The sequence below is a fragment of the Homo sapiens genome, chromosome 22, assembly GCF_000001405.40.
Source record: "Homo sapiens chromosome 22, GRCh38.p14 Primary Assembly".
Classification (NCBI taxonomy): Eukaryota; Metazoa; Chordata; class Mammalia; order Primates; family Hominidae; genus Homo; species Homo sapiens.
Window position 1 is genome coordinate 23,171,001 of NC_000022.11, and position 19,913 is coordinate 23,190,913.

General features: G+C 52.3%; 2 protein-coding genes and 1 pseudogene across 3 annotated transcripts in view, besides 10 other annotated features; 1 reads left to right on the forward strand and 2 right to left on the reverse strand.

Annotated features, from left to right (window-relative positions):
• The window catches only part of RSPH14 (radial spoke head 14 homolog), a 121,315-nt gene extending 111,586 nt beyond the window's left edge, over positions 1-9,729 (reverse strand). Inside the window, exon 1 of the mRNA XM_017028774.2 lies at positions 8,918-9,729. The gene's annotated coding sequence lies outside the window, so the exon portion shown is untranslated. The remainder of the gene's footprint in view (positions 1-8,917) is intronic.
• Positions 2,947-2,996: an enhancer, noted in NCBI's record as "active region_18748". NCBI's record gives its function as "activates an Ori minimal core promoter by ATAC-STARR-seq in GM12878 lymphoblastoid cells {active_cell/tissue: GM12878}" and the evidence as "EXISTENCE:reporter gene assay evidence [ECO:0000049][PMID:35858748]".
• Positions 2,982-3,276: an enhancer, noted in NCBI's record as "tiled region #7478; K562 Activating DNase unmatched - State 25:Art". NCBI's record gives its function as "activates a minimal TATA promoter and a strong SV40 promoter by Sharpr-MPRA in K562 cells {active_cell/tissue: K562}" and the evidence as "EXISTENCE:reporter gene assay evidence [ECO:0000049][PMID:27701403]".
• Positions 5,369-5,468: an enhancer, noted in NCBI's record as "active region_18749". NCBI's record gives its function as "activates an Ori minimal core promoter by ATAC-STARR-seq in GM12878 lymphoblastoid cells {active_cell/tissue: GM12878}" and the evidence as "EXISTENCE:reporter gene assay evidence [ECO:0000049][PMID:35858748]".
• Positions 5,856-5,955: a silencer, noted in NCBI's record as "silent region_13533". NCBI's record gives its function as "represses an Ori minimal core promoter by ATAC-STARR-seq in GM12878 lymphoblastoid cells {active_cell/tissue: GM12878}" and the evidence as "EXISTENCE:reporter gene assay evidence [ECO:0000049][PMID:35858748]".
• Positions 7,474-7,710: an enhancer blocking element, noted in NCBI's record as "candidate insulator 22-1; strong CTCF association in K562 cells". NCBI's record gives its function as "blocks activity of the beta-globin HS2 enhancer when located between the enhancer and the Agamma-globin gene promoter in a lentiviral reporter assay in K562 erythroleukemia cells {active_cell/tissue: K562}" and the evidence as "EXISTENCE:reporter gene assay evidence [ECO:0000049][PMID:24098520]".
• Positions 8,429-9,239: an enhancer, noted in NCBI's record as "H3K27ac-H3K4me1 hESC enhancer chr22:23521616-23522426 (GRCh37/hg19 assembly coordinates)". NCBI's record gives its function as "activates a minimal SCP1, AML or CMV promoter by ChIP-STARR-seq in naive H9 embryonic stem cells {active_cell/tissue: H9 hESC(naive)}" and the evidence as "EXISTENCE:reporter gene assay evidence [ECO:0000049][PMID:30033119]".
• On the reverse strand, positions 8,923-9,172 carry BCRP8 (BCR pseudogene 8; annotated as a pseudogene).
• Positions 9,360-9,599: a silencer, noted in NCBI's record as "silent region_13534". NCBI's record gives its function as "represses an Ori minimal core promoter by ATAC-STARR-seq in GM12878 lymphoblastoid cells {active_cell/tissue: GM12878}" and the evidence as "EXISTENCE:reporter gene assay evidence [ECO:0000049][PMID:35858748]".
• Positions 9,509-19,913, forward strand: part of BCR (BCR activator of RhoGEF and GTPase) — a 137,529-nt gene continuing 127,124 nt past the window's right edge. For both annotated transcript variants that reach the window (NM_004327.4, NM_021574.3), the window contains exon 1: positions 9,509-11,239. In NM_004327.4, the coding sequence (NP_004318.3) occupies positions 9,961-11,239 (1,279 nt within the window). In that variant the 5' untranslated portion in view covers positions 9,509-9,960. The remainder of the gene's footprint in view (positions 11,240-19,913) is intronic.
• Positions 9,670-9,939: a silencer, noted in NCBI's record as "silent region_13535". NCBI's record gives its function as "represses an Ori minimal core promoter by ATAC-STARR-seq in GM12878 lymphoblastoid cells {active_cell/tissue: GM12878}" and the evidence as "EXISTENCE:reporter gene assay evidence [ECO:0000049][PMID:35858748]".
• Positions 9,960-10,039: a silencer, noted in NCBI's record as "silent region_13536". NCBI's record gives its function as "represses an Ori minimal core promoter by ATAC-STARR-seq in GM12878 lymphoblastoid cells {active_cell/tissue: GM12878}" and the evidence as "EXISTENCE:reporter gene assay evidence [ECO:0000049][PMID:35858748]".
• Positions 13,785-14,291: an enhancer, noted in NCBI's record as "H3K4me1 hESC enhancer chr22:23526972-23527478 (GRCh37/hg19 assembly coordinates)". NCBI's record gives its function as "activates a minimal SCP1, AML or CMV promoter by ChIP-STARR-seq in naive H9 embryonic stem cells {active_cell/tissue: H9 hESC(naive)}" and the evidence as "EXISTENCE:reporter gene assay evidence [ECO:0000049][PMID:30033119]".

Sequence of the window (19,913 nt, forward strand, 5' to 3'; positions counted from 1 at the left end):
CTCTGTCCCCAGGCTGGAGTGCAGTAGTGCAATCTTGGCTCACTGCGGCCTCTGCCTCCCGGGTTCAAGCGATCCTCCTGCCTCAGCCTCCTGAGTAGCTGGGACTACAGGCGTGCACCACCACGCCCAGCCAATTTTTGTATTTTTAGTAGAGACAAGGTTTCACCATGTTGGCCAGGATGGTCTCAATCTCCTGACCTCATGATCCACCCACTGTGGCCTCCCAAAGTGCTGGGATTACAGGCGTGAGCCACTGAGCCTGGCCTACACTTTCTACCTGGGCAGGTTCACTCCTCCTTAGGAAACCTGATGGTCATCATGTTGATGACCCAGGAAGTCATCATACTGATGCTGAACTTAGTGCAGACACCTGACAGGCATAGTGCACTAAAGCCCAGAACTCCTAGATTCAAGCAACCCTCCCACCTCAGCCTCTGGAGTAGCTGGAACTACAAGTGTGTACCACAATGCCCAGCTAGAATTTCAACATACAAATTTTGGGGGACACAAACATTCAGTCCATTGTATACATGTACATACACATTCAAGTAATATTATTCATGCTGAGCGCGGTGGCTCACACCTGTAATCCCAGCACCTTGAGAGGCAGTGGGGGTGGATCACCTGAGGTCAGGAGTTTGAGACCAGCCTGATCAACATGGTGAAACCCCGTCTCTACTAAAAATACAAAATTAGCCAGGCGTGGTGGCACGTGCCTGTAATCTCAGCTACTCGGGAGGCTGAGGCAAGAGAATCGCTTGAAACTGGGAGGTAGAGATTGCGGTGAGCTGAGATCTTGCCATTGCACTCCAGCCTGGGCAACAAGAGCAAAACTCTGTCTCAAAAAAAAAAAACAAAAAAAAAAAAACAAGCAATGTTATTGACAACAGTGAAAAAGTGGAAGCCAGGATCGGTGGCACATATCTGTAGTCAGCTTCCTATCTAACAGGCCAGTCCTCAAGCACCTGGTTACCAGGAAGAAGAAACAAAAATTGTTAAAAAGCACCCTTCCTTAATGCATTTTATATCCATCTGTTAAAACAATTGCCATCATAAACTGATTCTGTAAGAATAAGACATACAAATGGAATCATACAATATGTGGCTTTTTGTGACTGCTTCTTTCACTTAGCATAATGTTTTCAAGGCTCATCCATGTTGTAGCATTTATCAGTACAATATTTCATTTCATTTTTTTCTTTTTCAGACAGCGTCTGGTTCTGTTGCCCCTCTGGAGTGCAGTGGCACTATCATGGCTCACTACAATCTCTGCCTATAGTGATGGTGCGCGTATAGTCCCAGCTACTTGGGAGGCTGAGGTGGGAGAACTGCTTGAATCCGGGAGGTGGAGGTTGCTGTGAGCCAAGATCACACCATTGTACTCCAGCCTGGGTGACAGAGCGAGATTCTGTCTCAAAAAAAAAAAAAAAAAAGGCCAGGTGCAGTGGCTCAGCCTGTAATCCCAGCACTTTGGGAGGCCGAGGCGGGCAGATCACGAGGTCAGGAGATCAAGACCATGGTGAAACCCCATCTCTACTAAAAAAATACAAAAAATTAGCCAGGCGCGGTAGTGGGTGCCTGTAGTCCCAGCTACTTGGGAGGCTGAGGCAGGAAATGGTATGAACCCAGGAGGCGGAGCAAGAATCCGTCTCAAAAAAAAAAAAAAAGACTGGGCACGGTGGCTCACACCTTTAATCCCAGCACTTTGGGAGGCCGAGGCAGGGTGGATTGTGAGGTCAGGAGATCGAGACCATCCTGGCTAACACGGTGAAACCCCATCTCTACTAAAAATACAAAAAATTAGCCGGGTGTGGTGGCAGGCGCCTGTAGTCCCAGCTACTCGGGAGGCTGAGGCAGGAGAATGGCATGAACCCAGGAGGCGGAACTTGCAGTGAGCCGAGATCGCCCCACTGCACTCCAGCCTGGGGTACAGAACGAGACTGCATCTAAAAAAAAAAAAAGAATGTCATATATTTGGAATCATACAGTATGTAGCCTTTTCAGAATAGTGTCTTTTCATATGGTAATAGGCATTTAAGTTTCCTCCATGTTTTTCCATGGCTTGTCAGCTCCTTTCTTTTTAGTGCTGATTAATATTCCATTGTCTGGATGTACCACAGTTTCTTTCTTTCTTTTTTTCTTTTTTTTCTTTGAGACGGAGTCTCGCTCTGTCACCCAGGCTGGAGTGCAGTGGCGCGATCTCCGCTCACTGCAAGCTCCGCCTTCCAGGTTCACGCCATTCTCCTGCCTCAGCCTCCCAAATAGCTGGGACTACAGGTGCCTGCCACCATGCCCAGCTAATTTTTTGTATTTTTAGCAGAGATGGGGTTTCAACATGTTAGCCAGGATGATCTCGATCTCCTGACCTCGTGAGCCGCCCGCCTCGGCCTCCCAAAGTTCTGAGATTACAGGCATCAGCCACTGTGCCTGGCCTTCTTTTCATTTATTTATTTAATTTGAGACAGGGTCTCACTCTGTCGCCCAGGCTGGAGTGCAGGGGTATGATCATAGCTCACTAAAACTTCAACCTCCCTGGCTCAAGCAATCCTTCCACCTCAGCCTCCAGAGTAGCTGGGACTACAGACACATGCCACAATGCTCAGGTAATTTTTTTATTTTTGGTTTTTTGTTTTTTGTTTTTTTTTTTTAGAGATGGGGTCTCACTATGGTGCCCAGGCTGGTCTCAAACTTCTTCTCCGTTATTATTTACTATTTATTTATTTTGAGACGGAGTCTCGCTCTGTCACCTAGGCTGGAGTGCAGCAGCACGATCTTGGCTCACTGCAAACGTCCATCTCCTGGGTTCCAGCGATTCTCTTGCCTCAGCCTCCTGAGTAGCTGGGACTACAGGCATGCGCCACCACACCAGGCTAACTTTTTCATATTTTTAGTAGAGACAGGGTTTCGCCATGTTGGTCAGGCTGGTCTTGAACTCCTGACCTCAAATGATCCACCCTCCTCGGCCTCCCAAAGTGCTGGGATTACAGGTGTGAGCCACTGTGCCCAGCCTCTATTCTTTCATCTGTTGACTGACACCTGCATGCTTTCCATCCCCAGGGCTTTGAGGCATGAGAAGTTCTGCATTGTCTCCAGCAGAGGGGGCGGTTGGGTCCCAGCCTGTTCTTCCAGTAAAGGGAAAGGGTGGCCTCCGGGAGGGGTTTGCTGGAACTTTTGCTTGGGGCCTAGGAACCACTTGGGCTGCTGCTGAGGGTGTGTGACGGTGTGTGTGTGTGTTTTGATTTTAAAATTACTTCTAGGCTGGGCACTGTGGCTCACGCCTGTAATCCCAGCACTTCGGGGAGCTGAGTTAGGAGGATCACTTAAGCCCAGGCGTCTAAGGCTGCAGTGAGCTAGGATTGCAATAATGCACTCCAGCATGGGTCACAGAGCGAGACCCCCATCTCAAAAAATATATAAGTAAATAAATAAATAATAGAATCATGTAACCACACTCAGAGAACAAGGGAAATTGAGGGGGAACATCACCAAAAACCCCACTTCTCTGTTATATTTTAGTTTCGAGATTTAAAAACATAATATGGATTGGGGATGCTGGAAATACTTGTTATCTAATTGTGGCGATGGCTTCAAAGTATACACAGATGTCAACACTCATCAAATCGCACTCCTTATGCGCAGTTTATGACACTTCAATTATACTTCAATAAAGTTGTAAAAAAAAAAAAAGCTGAGTGTGGTGGCTCACGCCTGTAATCCCAGTACTTTGGGAGGCTGAGGCAGGTGGATCCCCTGAGGTTGGGAGTTCGCAACCAGCCTGACCAACATGGAGAAACCCCGTTTCTACTAAAAATACAAAATTAGCCAGGAATGGTGGTGCATGCCTGTAATCCCAGCTACTCGGGAGGCTGAGGCAGGAGAATTGCTTGAACCGGGAAGCGGAGGTTGTGGTGAGCTGAGATCACGCCATTGCACTGCAGCCTGGGCAACAAGAGCAAAACTCCGTCTCAAAAAAAAAGAAAAAAAGATTGTAAAAAAAAAATTTTTTTTTTTTTTCAGACAGAGTCTCGCTCTGTCACCCAGGCTGGAGTGCAGTGACGCAATCTTGGCTCACTACAAGCTCCGCCTCCTGGGTTCACGCCATTCTCCTGCCTCAGCCTCCGAGTAGCTGGGACTACAGACGCCCACCACCACACCCGGCTAATTTGTTTTTGTATTTTTAGTAGAGTCGGGGTTTCACCGTGTTAGCCAGAATGGTCTCGATATCCTGACCTCATGATCTGCCCGCCTCGGCCTCCCAAAGTGCTGGGATTACAGGCGTCAGCCACGGCACTTGGCAAAAAATCTATTTTTTTTTAAATTACAAAAGATAGGTGGGTTGGCTTGTTTGTTTGTTTTTTCTTGAGACAGAGTCTCACTCCATCACCCAGGCTGGAGTGCAGTGGCGTAATCTCCCCTCACTGCAACCTCCGCCTACTGGATCCAAGCAATTCTCCAGCCTCCGCCTCTGGAGTCACCATGCCCAGCTAATTTTTATATTTTTGGTAGAGACAGGGTTTCACCATATTGGCCAGTCTGATCTTAAACTCCTGACCTCAAGTGACCCGCCCGCCTAGCCTCCCAAAGTGCTGGGATTACAGGCGTGAGCCATAGATAGGCGTTTTATTATGAAGAATTTAGAAAAGCATGATGATTTAGAAAATAAATGTCACCCACTGCTCATAGACAGCTGTGGAGCCCTTGGTGAAGCCCCCTCCTCCTGCTGAACCCCTCAGAAGGCTCCTGGGGTAGCGCTCAGGGCCCATCCAGCCTCCAGCTTCTGCAGCCAAGTTCCAGGGCCCACCTCTGCCCTGCCGGCCTCATGATGCCAGACTCAGCTAGCATCCTTCCCACTGAGGGAACAGCAGCTATCAGCATGAGGCTCTGCCTTCTTCACTGAGTCTTCTCCGCTCAGACTCCAGGGTCCCCATCATCTCCCTGGCCAGTCCCTTCTCAGTCCCTCTGCCTCTACTTCCCCCCTAGTCCAGTAACTGTCCCTTCTCCACCCAGCCTCACGCAGGCAGGGGGAGAGTCTCCAGCCCCGTGGCAACAAACAACATCGATTCACTGGCAACACTCCACTTTCTCTCTGAGGTCTTCATTGCTCCTTGGTGCAACAGGGTCACCCTCTGCCTGATGCCTGCTCATGGATGGGCTATGCGGACCTGAAGCCCTGTGCAGGCACCTCTGCTTGCCTGTTGCAGTCACCATCCCAAAGTCATCCCCATGAGCTGGCCTCCCTCTGTTGGGGAAAAGCTGGGTGTGGGGAGAGAAGCTGAGGCAGGGCTTGCATGTCTGCTAGACTTGCTGGCTCCTTCCTTCTAGCACTCTCATTATCTCAAGTAGCCATATGTTTCAAAGAAAATGCTAAACTGTCACAGCTGTAGCTCATTTGCTTGATACACCGCTTCCTTTCAATCCCCACATCCTCACCACCTGTTTCTTTGTTTGATCACCAATAAATAGCATAGGCTCCTAGGGCTAGAGGCCTTTGCAGCCTCTATACTAGCGTTGGCCCCCTGGTCCCACTTTCTCTCTTGCCTTTTCTCACTCCTTTGACTCCGCCAGACTTTGTCGCCCCCACGGCCTGGTGTTGGGTCTGATCACCCCAACATCCCTCATTCCCCACACCCACTCCATCTACAAGTCCCATGAGTTTTACTTCCAGAATGCTCCTGAATTCTAACCCCTTCTCTGGGGTACCTTGCTTCTGCCCTATTCTGGGTCACCAATGCCTTCCTCATAAACAATTGCCACAATCCCCAACCACTCCCCCTACTCCCACCTCCCACGCCCAACCTTCCATGCAACAGACCCCAGCAAGTCACCCCGCTTCCTGTGCGGTTGAGTACAGCAGCCACGGTGGCCATTGAAACTCACTAACACGAAACCAAACATTCAGTTCTTCAGCTGCCCCAGCCACGTTTCAGATGCTCAGTAATCACACGGGGCAGCTCGTGGCTGCCACATTGTGCAGCACAGATTACAGAACATGCCCATGGTACTGGCAAGTTCTATCGGACAGTGCAGGTCTAGAACCTTTGAGCAGCTTTTCCTTGCATTTAGAATAAAACCCAAACTTTGTGCAGGCCTACAAGGCCCTGCCTCACCTCTGATCCCACTTCCTACTGCCTACACCAGCCTCATCTCCCAACCTGGCTGCTCCTCAAACAGAACTTTGAAGCCTCCTTGTCCTTTGCCTACCTGGTCCTTGTCCTTAGGACCAGCTCAGGCATCACCTCCCCTGGCAAGCCTTTCCCCGAACTGTGCCTTCTCCCACAGGACACACACACCTTTGCTATAGCCGGGCTGTGAATGCCTTATCACTTCCTCCCCCATACACAGGCATCGCTCTCGGTGACCTATCTGCCCTCCAGGCCATGCACACATCTGGTTCCTCATTCCACCAGACCTGGTTGAGCACTTACTCTGAGCTCACTATATGAGAGACATAGGGGAACAAGACAAACAGGTCTGTGACCTTGCAGAGTTTAGATCTAGTTGGAACAGACACTGAGTGGGGGATTACAGAGTGTTATGTGTGTCTAAACCCCATGCCCATGCCCATGCCCTGCTGCATTCCTCCCTAGGGAGGGATGGATGATAAGAAAACTCTACAGGAAAGGCCCAGAGGCTCAGGATAGGGGTGCTTTCAGGGAAGTCCTGAGGAGAGAACAGTGTCCTTGGGGCCAGAAGAGGCTGTCCCACAAGGGAGAAAGCCACTATCTGGACGTGTCCTTGTGCCTAACAAAAAGCCATTTGCTATGCCAAGAGAACAGAGCATGCAAACTCAAACTAAACAGCTTCAGAGTTTACTTAGAGACAGGGTCTTGCTCTGTTACCCAGGCTGGAGTGCAGTGGCGTGATCCTAGCTCACTGAAGCCTCAAATTCCCAGGCTCAGTGCAATCCTCCCACCCCAGCCTCCTGAGCAGGTAGAACTACAGGCACGAGGCACCATGCCAGGCTAATTTTTAAATTTTTTTGTAGAGATGGAGTCTCACTATGTTGCCCAGGCTGGTCTTGAACTCCTGGGCTCAAGCGATACTCCTGCCTCGGCCTCCCAAAACACCAGGATTACAGGCATGGGCCACTGTGCCTGCCTTTATCATACCCATTTTAAAGAAGAGGCCATTGAGGGCTGGGTGCAGTGGCTCACACCTGTAATTCCAGCACTACAGGAGGCCAAGGCGGGCAGATCACGAGGTCAGGAGTTCAAGACCAGCCTGGCCAACACAGTGAAACCCCGTCTCTACTAAAAATACAAAAAACTAGCTGGGCGTGATGGCAGGCGCCTGTAATTCCAGCTACTTGGGAGGCTGAGGCAGCAGAATCACTTGAACCCAGGAGGCAGAGGTTGCGGTGAGCAGAGATCACTCCACTGCACTCCAGCCTGGGCAACAGTGTGAGACTCCGTCTCAAAAAAAAAAAAAAATAGGCCACTGAGGATGAGAGCACTGCTCAGTATGGCACTACTGGGATTCCAGCCCCTTTAGTGGCCAGGGCATCATTTGCATCTCAGTTTCCTCACATGCAAAATGGGCTATTTGCAGCCTGATGGGAAGGGGATGAGAAGGTCCGCTGGGTCCAAGGGACCAGGATGGCAGGAGGTTAGCAAGGCCTGCAGAGGGCAGCAGTGAGCTGCGCACCGCCCACCCAGCCTAGAAACTGGGGCCCATGGGTTTTCCAGGGCAGGAATGTTCTCCAGGGGCACTAATATTAACAGGCAATCACGAAATCGACCCCTACACACCATTTATCAGGTTGTGTTTTATGTTTGCCCCATCTGGGCATTTTATGCAGGATGCTCTCAACATTTTGTACCGTGGCCCACAGGACTGGGTGGAAGACAGGACAGCTCAGAGCAGGGAGTGAAACAAAATCTTTGATGGTTCTCTAGGGAAGCCTGGAAATCTGAGACAGGGCAAAGAGCAGGGAGTCTGATGAGCACAAAATTAAAATACCCAAACCAGCCTGCCGGGTCAGGGGAAAAGGAAGCAGGATTGGGCACATGAAGAACAGATGACAAAACTGAGGCTCAGAGAGGCTGAGAGAGACACTGCTGAGGTCACACAGCCAGGAGTCGGCAGGAAGCCCTGAACCCAAGCAGGGCTGGCCTGGCTACTAGCCTGGGCTCAGTCCTTTAGATTGGACTTCAAAGTATCTGCTCCAGATGACGCTGGCATTGGGAGGAGGGCATGATAATCCCTAACATCCACACAGGGACAACAGCACTTGGAGGCAGATGTGCTTCTCACTTCAAGGAAACTGAGGCAGAGAGGGAGAGGTGGTCAGGACTCAAGCCCAGTAATTCATTTGCCAAATCCTGTTTCCTTTTCCCCCAACCCAGCGGGCTGGTTTGGGTATTTTCAGTTTGTGCCCATCAGAGTCCCTGCAGAGTGCTCTCCACTGTGTCTCAGATCTCTGTGTCCCCAGAGAACCATCAAAGGTTTTGTTTCACTCCCTGCTCTGGGCTGTCTTCCACCCAGCCCTGTGAACCTCAGTGCAGGTTGGCCGCCCCCTTAGAGGGAGGCTAATCAGGGAAGTTCTGAGTCAGGTCGTCCTGGAAAAACTACATTGACCTCTGGAGCTCAAGAGAGGCCAGGGGACAAACACATGGCTCAGCACACAGGAAGGCAGGTGTGGGTATTGAGTGACCTGAGGGAGAAATCCCTATTTATCATCCATCATGTGGTCCTGCTGTGACAAACCCGTGTGGCAGCCACCCACAGCAGATCCACAACGTGAGAGGCCCGCTGAAACAAGGGTGCTGGCATTGGTTACTCAGCCTGGCCCTCCCTGCCTTGCGGGGTGACCTGCCTGGTCCTGGCCTCTCTGTGAGTTGGGCCCTGCTGGGTGGTCCCTAGTGTGCCCAGCCCTGAGGCTGGTGAGAGGCCAGGCTGTGAGGTGTGAGGAACTTACCTGCGTCTCCATGGAAGGTGCCCTCCGCATCGTTGGGCCAGATCTGCCTGGTCTTGCAGATGCCCACGATGGTGGCCTCTGACACGACGACTGGGCAGTGCCGGTGACGCTTATGGCACTGCGGCGTGGTAGGGGCAGAGGGGGGAGGTTGCTTCTGTCGGAGGACTGCTGCGAGTTCTGCCAGAGAGAGCAGCTCTTGTCCCGGAACATGAGGTAGGTGGTGGGGCTTGGGGACACGCGGCTGGACTGGCCGGAGAAGTCCTCCTGGCCGGAGGGGAGCCAAGTGTTCCTGTTCCAGGACTGCAGAACTGGCCCAGACCTCTGTATTGGAAAGGTCTTTATGGACCAGGGAGTCCGGTGTCTTTTTTACGGGGGACCCCTGGGCTGCGAGTTGCACAGTCCAATTCGCTGTTGTTAGGGCCTCAGTTTCCCAAAAGGCACAGGGACGGGGGGAGGGTGGCGGCTCGATGGGGGAGCCGCCTCCAGGGGGCCCCCCCGCCCTGTGCCCACGGCGCGGCCCCTTTAAGAGGCCCGCCTGGCTCCGTCATCCGCGCCGCGGCCACCTCCCCCCGGCCCTCCCCTTCCTGCGGCGCAGAGTGCGGGCCGGGCGGGAGTGCGGCGAGAGCCGGCTGGCTGAGCTTAGCGTCCGAGGAGGCGGCGGCGGCGGCGGCGGCACGGCGGCGGCGGGGCTGTGGGGCGGTGCGGAAGCGAGAGGCGAGGAGCGCGCGGGCCGTGGCCAGAGTCTGGCGGCGGCCTGGCGGAGCGGAGAGCAGCGCCCGCGCCTCGCCGTGCGGAGGAGCCCCGCACACAATAGCGGCGCGCGCAGCCCGCGCCCTTCCCCCCGGCGCGCCCCGCCCCGCGCGCCGAGCGCCCCGCTCCGCCTCACCTGCCACCAGGGAGTGGGCGGGCATTGTTCGCCGCCGCCGCCGCCGCGCGGGCCATGGGGGCCGCCCGGCGCCCGGGGCCGGGCTGGCGAGGCGCCGCGCCGCCGCTGAGACGGGCCCCGCGCGCAGCCCGGCGGCGCAGGTAAGGCCGGCCGCGCCATGGTGGACCCGGTGGGCTTCGCGGAGGCGTGGAAGGCGCAGTTCCCGGACTCAGAGCCCCCGCGCATGGAGCTGCGCTCAGTGGGCGACATCGAGCAGGAGCTGGAGCGCTGCAAGGCCTCCATTCGGCGCCTGGAGCAGGAGGTGAACCAGGAGCGCTTCCGCATGATCTACCTGCAGACGTTGCTGGCCAAGGAAAAGAAGAGCTATGACCGGCAGCGATGGGGCTTCCGGCGCGCGGCGCAGGCCCCCGACGGCGCCTCCGAGCCCCGAGCGTCCGCGTCGCGCCCGCAGCCAGCGCCCGCCGACGGAGCCGACCCGCCGCCCGCCGAGGAGCCCGAGGCCCGGCCCGACGGCGAGGGTTCTCCGGGTAAGGCCAGGCCCGGGACCGCCCGCAGGCCCGGGGCAGCCGCGTCGGGGGAACGGGACGACCGGGGACCCCCCGCCAGCGTGGCGGCGCTCAGGTCCAACTTCGAGCGGATCCGCAAGGGCCATGGCCAGCCCGGGGCGGACGCCGAGAAGCCCTTCTACGTGAACGTCGAGTTTCACCACGAGCGCGGCCTGGTGAAGGTCAACGACAAAGAGGTGTCGGACCGCATCAGCTCCCTGGGCAGCCAGGCCATGCAGATGGAGCGCAAAAAGTCCCAGCACGGCGCGGGCTCGAGCGTGGGGGATGCATCCAGGCCCCCTTACCGGGGACGCTCCTCGGAGAGCAGCTGCGGCGTCGACGGCGACTACGAGGACGCCGAGTTGAACCCCCGCTTCCTGAAGGACAACCTGATCGACGCCAATGGCGGTAGCAGGCCCCCTTGGCCGCCCCTGGAGTACCAGCCCTACCAGAGCATCTACGTCGGGGGCATGATGGAAGGGGAGGGCAAGGGCCCGCTCCTGCGCAGCCAGAGCACCTCTGAGCAGGAGAAGCGCCTTACCTGGCCCCGCAGGTCCTACTCCCCCCGGAGTTTTGAGGATTGCGGAGGCGGCTATACCCCGGACTGCAGCTCCAATGAGAACCTCACCTCCAGCGAGGAGGACTTCTCCTCTGGCCAGTCCAGCCGCGTGTCCCCAAGCCCCACCACCTACCGCATGTTCCGGGACAAAAGCCGCTCTCCCTCGCAGAACTCGCAACAGTCCTTCGACAGCAGCAGTCCCCCCACGCCGCAGTGCCATAAGCGGCACCGGCACTGCCCGGTTGTCGTGTCCGAGGCCACCATCGTGGGCGTCCGCAAGACCGGGCAGATCTGGCCCAACGATGGCGAGGGCGCCTTCCATGGAGACGCAGGTGAGTTCCTCACGCCACGTGCGTGGGCACACCTGCACGGGGGAGGAAAACCATAGACGAGTAGGGGATACAAAACAGAAGTTGGGAGGGAGGAGTGGATAGTTTTGAGTGTATCAGGTGCACTTGTGGTTCACGCGGATCCTGCACCCGAACAAACTCCATCCCCTCCTCCTTCCTGAATGCATACTGTTAGTGTTTGGAATGGAATTGGGTTGAGGATGGTCTTGTGAGGGATGGGAGGTGGTTTGTTCCTTTGGTTCTAGAGCAATGTGTTTGTGAAGTACAGCTTGTGAGTTGAAGGAAGATGCTTCAGGCAGTAACCTCCTTGCTATGTGCTCTCTCCATGCCGGGCAGTGAGGATGGCATAAAAGCCGGAGTCATCTCTAGCGCCCACATCGGATGCTGTTAGCAGGGACTGATTTATGTCTTGGGCATTCCCCGCCACCCCACTGATCCTGTTCTGGAGGGGTTATATGACACGTTTGTGAAACCTGAGATATGCTAGCTGCTCCTAGGCCATAGAAGTGTCAGGTTTGCTTGCTAACCAGCAGTCCTGAACACAAGTCACAGCAGGTGAGAATAGGAATTAGAAGGAAGTGAGGCGACAGGCAGTTGTGACTCAGTGGGCCACCGAAAATCAACTGCATGGAGATTTTATCTGGGGGTGAAGCAGAGCCACACCCGTTCTGATCTGCCTGGCTTTGATGGGAGGCTTCACCCATGATTATTCACCACCAGGCTCCTCCATGGTGGTAACCCAGCCCCATTTGCTGACCCTCCAGTGTGCTCCTGCTGCCTCATCTTGCCAAGGATAAGCACCCACAGGTGCTTATTTGGGGCTCCCAATCTGTGGTCAGATTCTAGCACTAAGATTAAAACTATGGGATTGTACGCCTAACTTCTGTGCTAGATGCAAATACCATCAGGCATTTTGGGTCATGGGACTATGTTTTGAGATCCAGACACAGTTTGCCATTGGGGTAAGGAAAGGGTGGGCTGGGGTGTGTGTGTGAGGCTGTCGGGAATCTTTTGGAGTCCTGGTCCCTGTTAAGCTCATCTGGTTTTCTGCTTCATTGATTTTTCTTTTTCTGCTGATGGAGGAGTTGAATGTGCTTGGTTTGTCAAAATCCTCTTCAAACGAGTGAGGCTATTTTTGGCTCTTAGAGCTGCTGCCTTTTTGTGGTGGGCACTCTGTCCTGTTTGTGTTAGGTACTTCCAGTTACTGATCTTCCATTTGCAGCTGGGGTTTCCTGTGGTGCACGGCTCCGACCTGCCGTCTGGCCGGGCTGCATTCCCTAAGTCCCTATGTGGGGGCGGGGTGGAAGGCTGTACTATTCAGAAGCCTGCTTTGCAGGCACATCAGCTCGTTCGGGGTCTGGAGGATTGCCTTGTGGTTACTGGGCACCAGCCTTGTCTGGCCAGCTGTTGGTCAGGCGAGCCAGCTTGAACTGGCCCTCAGTGCCATGGTGCAGGAGAGTTATTAATAAAGAAGAAAATGAGAGGTTTTTAGGGAGATGTGCAAATTGAAATTGATAGTCTTTGCTGGTGGAGAATTCTGGGTTTCCAGAACCTTGGGCCCAGCCTTTCCTACAGCTCCTGTAGACTTGGCCATGTTGGCCACATCACTAGACGCCGAATGCAAGTCAGTAAATGAATATAGGAATTATTATAGAGGGATGGAAAGCCCAGTGCCTTGAGTCAGACAGGGCAGGTCCTCAGGAAATGGCTGAGGAGGTAATTTTACCACTTGGACCCACTTTTAGGACTTGCTGGATTCTTCTCCGAATGTCCTCAAGGTCCCACAGTCTCTTTCCCATTAGGTTTTATTTTTTCCCCCTTAAATGTTTTGTTTGTTTTTTGTTTTTAAGAGACAGCGTCTGGCTCTGCCATCCAGGTTGGAATGCAGTAGTATGATCATAGCTCACTGCAACCTCAAAACTCTTGGGCTCAGGTGATCCACCACAGCCTTTTCAGCAGCTGGGACTGCAGGCTCAAACCACTATACTGGGCTAATTTTTAATTTTTTTTTTTTGTAAATACAGGGTCTTGCTGTGTTGCCCAGGCTGGTATCAAACTCCTGGGCTCAAGCATTCCTCTAGCTTCAGCCTCCTGAGTAGCTGGGGTTACAGGGATGAGACACCTCACCAGGCCTCTTAGACGTTTTTAGTAACTAAGGTCACTTAAACATTTTTAAAAGGGATTATTTTCCCTCAGACAGTTTTTCTTTTTTAAGACTTAATTTTTTTAGAGCTATTAGGTTCACAGCAAAATTGATCGGGAAATATAGCAATTTCCCACATACTCCCTACCCCTACACCCCCACAGCCTCCCCAGTTAACATCTCCCACCAGAGGGGCATGTTTGTTACAGTCCATGAACCTACCTGCATTGGTGCCTCATTATTACCCAAAGTCCAGAGTTTACATTTGGGTTCACTCTTGGTGTTGTACAGTCTATGAGTTTGGATCCTGTTATGTTTTAAAACTCCTGCTTCTTTTAGCCCTGGGCACCTTGACACTCTGCCTAGCAGTTTCCCCTGACGTGGGTCCATGTATGGCAGGCATGGAAAGAGGAATCCTCACTGGCTCAGCCATCTGTCTCTGCCTGTTTACTGATGTTCTTTAGAGGGCTGTGGAGCCTGCTGGTCTGAAAAGGAACAATGAGGAAAATCACTCATGGGGGTGGGTGGGGGGAGGAAGTCACCCTAATGCTCCGCAGTGGCAGATGTGGTGACCCAGATCTAATAACCTCGGAATCAGTCTGTTTGGATGAATGGACCGTCCCATTTCCAAGTTGAGGGCCCCTCAAGGGAGGGGGCTGAAGCCATCCCTGGGCACGGTGACAAAGTGCTTCCCATAGGGCCCCTCATGGGCTCATCTGTCGCCCTGGGGTGGGGCTGCCCATTTACAGGTAAAGACACAACTGGGAAGCGGCAAGGCTGGGATTCTGGGTCTCTGTGTGAATGCAGAGCTGTTCCGTTTGGCACGTGGTGGCCCTGCGGTGTTCTTCCCACTACCCCACACTGCTACCTGCAAAGCACAACTGGGGAGGTTCAGGGCGTCCTTCCAGTCTTTGCACCCTGGGCCCGCCTGTGGGGGTAATGATAGACGGCTGTGAGCCCTGCTGTAAAACTATGCAGAACCCGGCCGGGCGCGGTGGCTCAAGCCTGTAATCCCAGCACTTAGGGAGTCCAAGGCGGGTGGATCACAAGGGCAGGAGATGGAGACCATCCTGGCTAACACGGTGAAACCCCGTCTCTACTAAAAATACAAAAAATTAGCCGGGTGTGGTGGCCGGCGCCTGTAGTCCCAGCTACTCGGGAGGCTGAGGCAGGAGAATGGCGTGAACTAGGGGAGGCGGAGCTTGCAGTGAGCCGAGATCGCTGGGCTGCACTCCAGCCTGGGCGACAGAGCGAGACACAGTCTCAAAAAACAAACAAAAAACTATGCGGAACTCACAGAAGGAGAGTGTGGTTCTCTCTGTTTTTTTTGTTGTTGTTGTTTTTTTGAGGCGGAGCCTCGCTCTGTCGCCCAGGCTGGAGTGCAGCCCAGCGATCTCGGCTCACTGCAAGCTCCGCCTCTCGGCTTCACACCATTCTCCTGCCTCAGCCTCCTGGGTAGCTGGGACCACAGGCGCCCACCACCACACCCAGCTAATTTTTTTGTATTTTTAGTAGAGACGGGGTTTCACTGTGTTAGCCAGTATGGCCTCGATCTTCTGACCTCGGGTTCCGCCCGCCTCAGCCTCCGAAAGTGCTGGGATTACAGGCGTGAGCCACCCGCGCAAGGCGGATAGTGTGGTTCTTGCGATCTGGGAACTTACAAGTTACCGGAAGAGAGGGAGAGGCACACATGTATGTGCTCAAGGGAAGTGAGATCAGAGAAGCTTCCGGAAATGGCAGGACTGAAGAGGACTTGATCAGTCACCAGAAGTTGGAGGGCAGAGAGTAGCCGTTTGCCCTAAGGAAAAATGGCAGCAAAGGCCTGGGGCCACCCACGTCTGCCTTGTGATTCTAGGCTGTGTGCTTTTCTTTAAATGGTAAAATATGCTTAACTTAAAATTTACCATTTTTGTAACTTTTAAAAAGTTTGGTAAAATGCACATAACAAAAGTTACTGTCTTAACCCTTTTAAATTGTTTCTTTGGGTAAGGCCAGTCAAGTGAAGCAGGGGAACATTTTAACCATTTTTATCCATACAGTTCTGTGGTGTTGACTACATTCACATTGTTGTACGACCATCACTACTGTCCATCTTGAACTTTTTCATCTTCCCGACTGAAGCTCTGTACCCAGTGAATAATAACTCCCCATTCCCTGCCCCCAGCCCCTGGCACTGCCATTCTCCATCTGTGTCTCTGAATTCAGCTATTATAGATACCTCATGTAAGTCCAGTCCTGTGGCATTCGTCTTTTTGTGATTGGCTTATTTCACTGAGTGTAATGTTACCAATGTTCATCCATGTGATGGCAGAAATTGTGTGGATTTTTTTTTTAATGGAGTTTCACTCTAGGCTGGAGTGCAGTGGCGTGATCTCTGCTTACTGCAGCCTCTGCCTCCCCAGTTCAAGCTTCAAGAGTCTCCTGCTTCAGGAGTTCAGGATTCTCCTGCTTCAGCCTCCCGAGTAGCTGGGATTACAGGTGTGCACCACCACACCCAGCTAATTTTTGTATTTTCAGTAGAGACGGGGTTTCGCCATGTTGGCCAGGCTGGTCTGGAACTCCTGACCTCAAGTGATCCACCCGTCTTGGCCTCCCAGAGTGCTGGGATTATAGGCATGAGCCACTGCTCTGGGCCAACTGTGCTTTTTGAAGGCAGGAATAACTGGTTCATTTCTGGGTGTCCCAGGGAGCCTGGTTCTGAGCTTTACACATAGCACATACTGGAAGAGCCCTTCCTCCTTTTCATAGCCCATGGGGTCAGGACTGGGGACTTTTACTGATCATTGGAAAGTGACTTATCAATTACTCGGTCTTTTTCTCATTTCATCCCTGTAGTTTACTTTCTGAGGATCTTTTTTTTTTAAGTGGCTTAAAATACTTTTTTTTTTTTTTTTTTTCACAGTTCTCTGGTTGGCTAGGCAGTTTTCCTGTTGTGGGCCCACTGGGCTGAAATAGGACGGTCTAGTTAGCCTCACCCACACATTCTGTGATTGCAGGCTGATTGACATTGGGGAGGAGGGGCTGTCTTATTTGTGTTGCAGCTGGCTCGATATCAGTTGGGACAGCAGACGTTTCTCCTTCTCTTTCTCTCTCTCTCTCTTTTTTTTTTTTTTAATAGAGATTGGATCTCCCTATGTTGCCCAGGCTGGCCTCGAACTCCTGGGCTTAAGCAATCTACCCACCTCAGCCTCCCAAAGTGCTGGAATTACAGGCGTGAGCCACCACACCCAGCCTCCTCCTTTTTCTTTTTTTCCCCCATTGAGACATAATAATTGTACCTATTTAGAGGGTGTGATATTTTGATACATATCTGCAATGCATAATGATCAGATTGAAGTGATTAGCATATTCATCACCTCAAACACATTTATTATTTGTTTATGCTGGGAGGTCTGAGGAATTCTTGATTCAAACACCCAGCCCAATGTGCCTGTCAACTTTCTTCCAGGTGTCAGTTGTGAGACGGGACAGATCTTGTGTTTCTTCATGGACTTCATGTGAGTGGCTGCCCTGTGTTTTCACATTTTTATTAAGCAGCTTAATTTGCCCTTTGAATTCCGGTGATGAGTTGGCGCCAGAGTGACCACTGCATTGTTTTTCCCTTGGGTGATGGGCTGGACTGGCAACCAGTTTGAGTGAGTAACTGTGGGGCAGAGAAAGGTCACCTGGGCCTGGAGTTGGCTCCATCGTCATCTCTTAAGGCCAGAGCCTCGTGGCCACCTCTCAGTTGAGTACAGGCTCCTTTCCATGGATGGAGACAGAGTGGGCAGATCTGGGTGGAGTCTGAGGCCGCTAAAGGCATCAGCAGCACAGAAGCAGAGTCTAGATCAAATTTTACAAGCGTTCTCTGGTTCAGGAAGGCTGACTTGTTTTGGGAACAGAATGGAGCATTCTGAAACATTTCACTGAAGAAGGAGCTGGGAGTGCTGTTGATTTGACTGGGTTCAGGGGAGCATGCCTTATCCATGACTCCCTTTTGCTTAGTTTGTTGCTTCTAGCTTTATAGCCTCCTTCCTTCCTTGGTTGGAAGTCCTGTGGCTGGGAGGGCTTGTGTTTGTGACTGCTAACCTCACCAGGACAAAGAGCCCAGGTGAGCTATGTGCTTGAGCACACTTGGGAGAGGACACAGCAGTGCATGAGGCCCAGGCTGCAGCTCACCCCTGTGGTTTGAGAGGGTCCCCTGTTTAGAGTGAATGAATGGGCATCTTGGAAGCTTTCTCAGGTTACCAAAGAGTAGGTCTGAGTTTTGGCTGAGGCTGCTGCTTTTTGGGTCAAGACTCGGGGTGGTGGTGGATTAAATTAACTATGAACCCCAGGGAATATCTTGACCCTGACTGGAATACAACTGTTGTGGCTCAAGTAGGTTTTTTTTTTCCCCTTTTGAAAAGTGTAGTTATTTTAATTAAAATACAATATCCATGTAACATGTTAGAAGTTTGTTATTTTTATTATTGTAAAATTCATGTTATATTTTTTATTTTTTCAAGACGGGGTCTCACTCTGTCACCTAGGCTGGAGTGCAGTGGCACGATCTAGGCTCACTACAACCCCCGCCACCCAGGTTCAAGCGATTCTTCTGCCACAGCCTCCCGAGTAGCTGGGATTACAGCTAATTAGCCTAGCTAATTTTTGTATTTTTAGTAGAGACAGGGTTTCACCATGTTGGCCAGGCTGGTCTTGAACTCCTGACCTCAGGTGATCTGCCCCCCTCAGCCTCCCAAAATGTTGGGATTACAGGCCTGAGCCACTGCGCCCGGCTAAAATTTATATTATAAGATGCACCATTTTCTCCATTTTTAAGTGTACAGTTCAGTGGCATTAAGTACATCACCTTGTTTTGCAACCATCACCACTTGTCAATTTCTAGAACTTTTTCATCTTCCCAAACTGAAACTTCATATCCATCAGACTTTAACTCCCCATTCCCCCTCATCCCCAGCTCCCGGAAGCCACCGTTCTACTCTGTCTCCATGATTTTGCCTCTCCTAGATGCCTCGTGTAAGTGGAGTCTTATAATATTTGTCCTGTGTCTGGCTGATTTCACTCAAGCAGGGCTTTGAAGTTCCCCAGGGCGACACTCTCAGTCTTTTCTTTTTTTTCTTTCTTTCTTTTCTTGAGACGGAGTTTCGCTCTTATTTTGCCCAGGCTGGAGTGCAATGGCACGATCTCGGCTCACTGCAACCTCTCCCTCCCAGGTTCAAGTAATTCTCCTGCCTCAGCCACCCAAGTAGCTGGGATTACAGGCGCCTGCCATCACACCCGGCTAATTTTTTGTATTTTTAGTAGAGATGGGGTTTCACCATGTTGGCCAGGCTGGTCTCAATCGTTTGACCCCGTGATCCACCCGCCTCGGCCTCCCAAAGTGCTGGGATTATAGGCATGAGCCACCGCTCCTAGCCTAGCCCTCTCAGTCTTAAGACTGAGTTAACTCCCAGCTCTGATCCGTCACAAGGGTGTTCTCTTCCGGAAAACACCCGTTAGCAATGGCGATCTTCCCTGGGCCTTCACGCCCTTAGCTTTGAAGTGGCCCAGAGTATTAGTTTGCCAAGGCTGTCCCATAACAAGATACCAAGACTGGGTGGCTTAAATAACAGAAATATATTTTCTCACACTTCTGGATGCCAAAAGTCCAAGATCAAGGTGCCAGCAGGGTTGGTTCCCTGGAGGGCTCTCATTGGCTTGCAGGTGCCATGGTCTTGCTGCCTCTGCACATGGTCTTTTTCTCTGTGCATGAACTCCCCTGGCATCTCTCTGTGTCCAAATTTCCCTTCTTTTTTTGTTTTTGAGACGGAGTTTCACTCTTGTCACCCAGACTGGAGTGCAATGGCACAGTCTCAGCTCACTGCAACCTCCACCTCCCAGGTTCAGGCAATTCTCCCGCCTCAGCCTTCCGAGTAGCTGGGATTACAGGTGCCTGCCAACACACCTGGGTAATTTTTGTATTTTTAGTAGAGACGGGGTTTCACCATGTTAGCCAGCCTGGTCTCGAACTTCTGACCTTAGGTGATCCGCCCTCCTCGGCCTCCAAAAGTGCTGGGATTATAGGCATGAGCCACTGCACCCGGCCCAAATTTCCCTTCTTAAAAGGACACCAGTAAGACTGGATTAAGGTGGGCAGTAAAGACCCCTGCTTTAACTTAATCAGTTCTTGAAAGGCCTTATTTCCAAATACAGTCACATTCTGAGGTACTGGGAGTTAGAACGTCAACATATGGGGAGTGAGGCATGGTTTAGTTCGTAACACTTGGTGAGTCCGTTACTGGGCAGCAGAGGAAAGGGCTGCCAGGCAGAGGGAGATGGTGTTTGTGCCGGCTCCCTCAGACGTGTTAGGAGGAGTGTGAGCCAAGCGTCATGTGGTTTTAGGCAGCCTAGAGGGGCCTAGAGGACACTGAGCCAGGCATCAGGAGGGCTGCGTGCTAAAACTTCGTGTGCTGCCATCTCTCTCCACATCCAAAAAGTAGGGGTGGGAACAGGTCATTGCTAAGGTTCTTTCGTTAGCTTCTTTAATTTTTT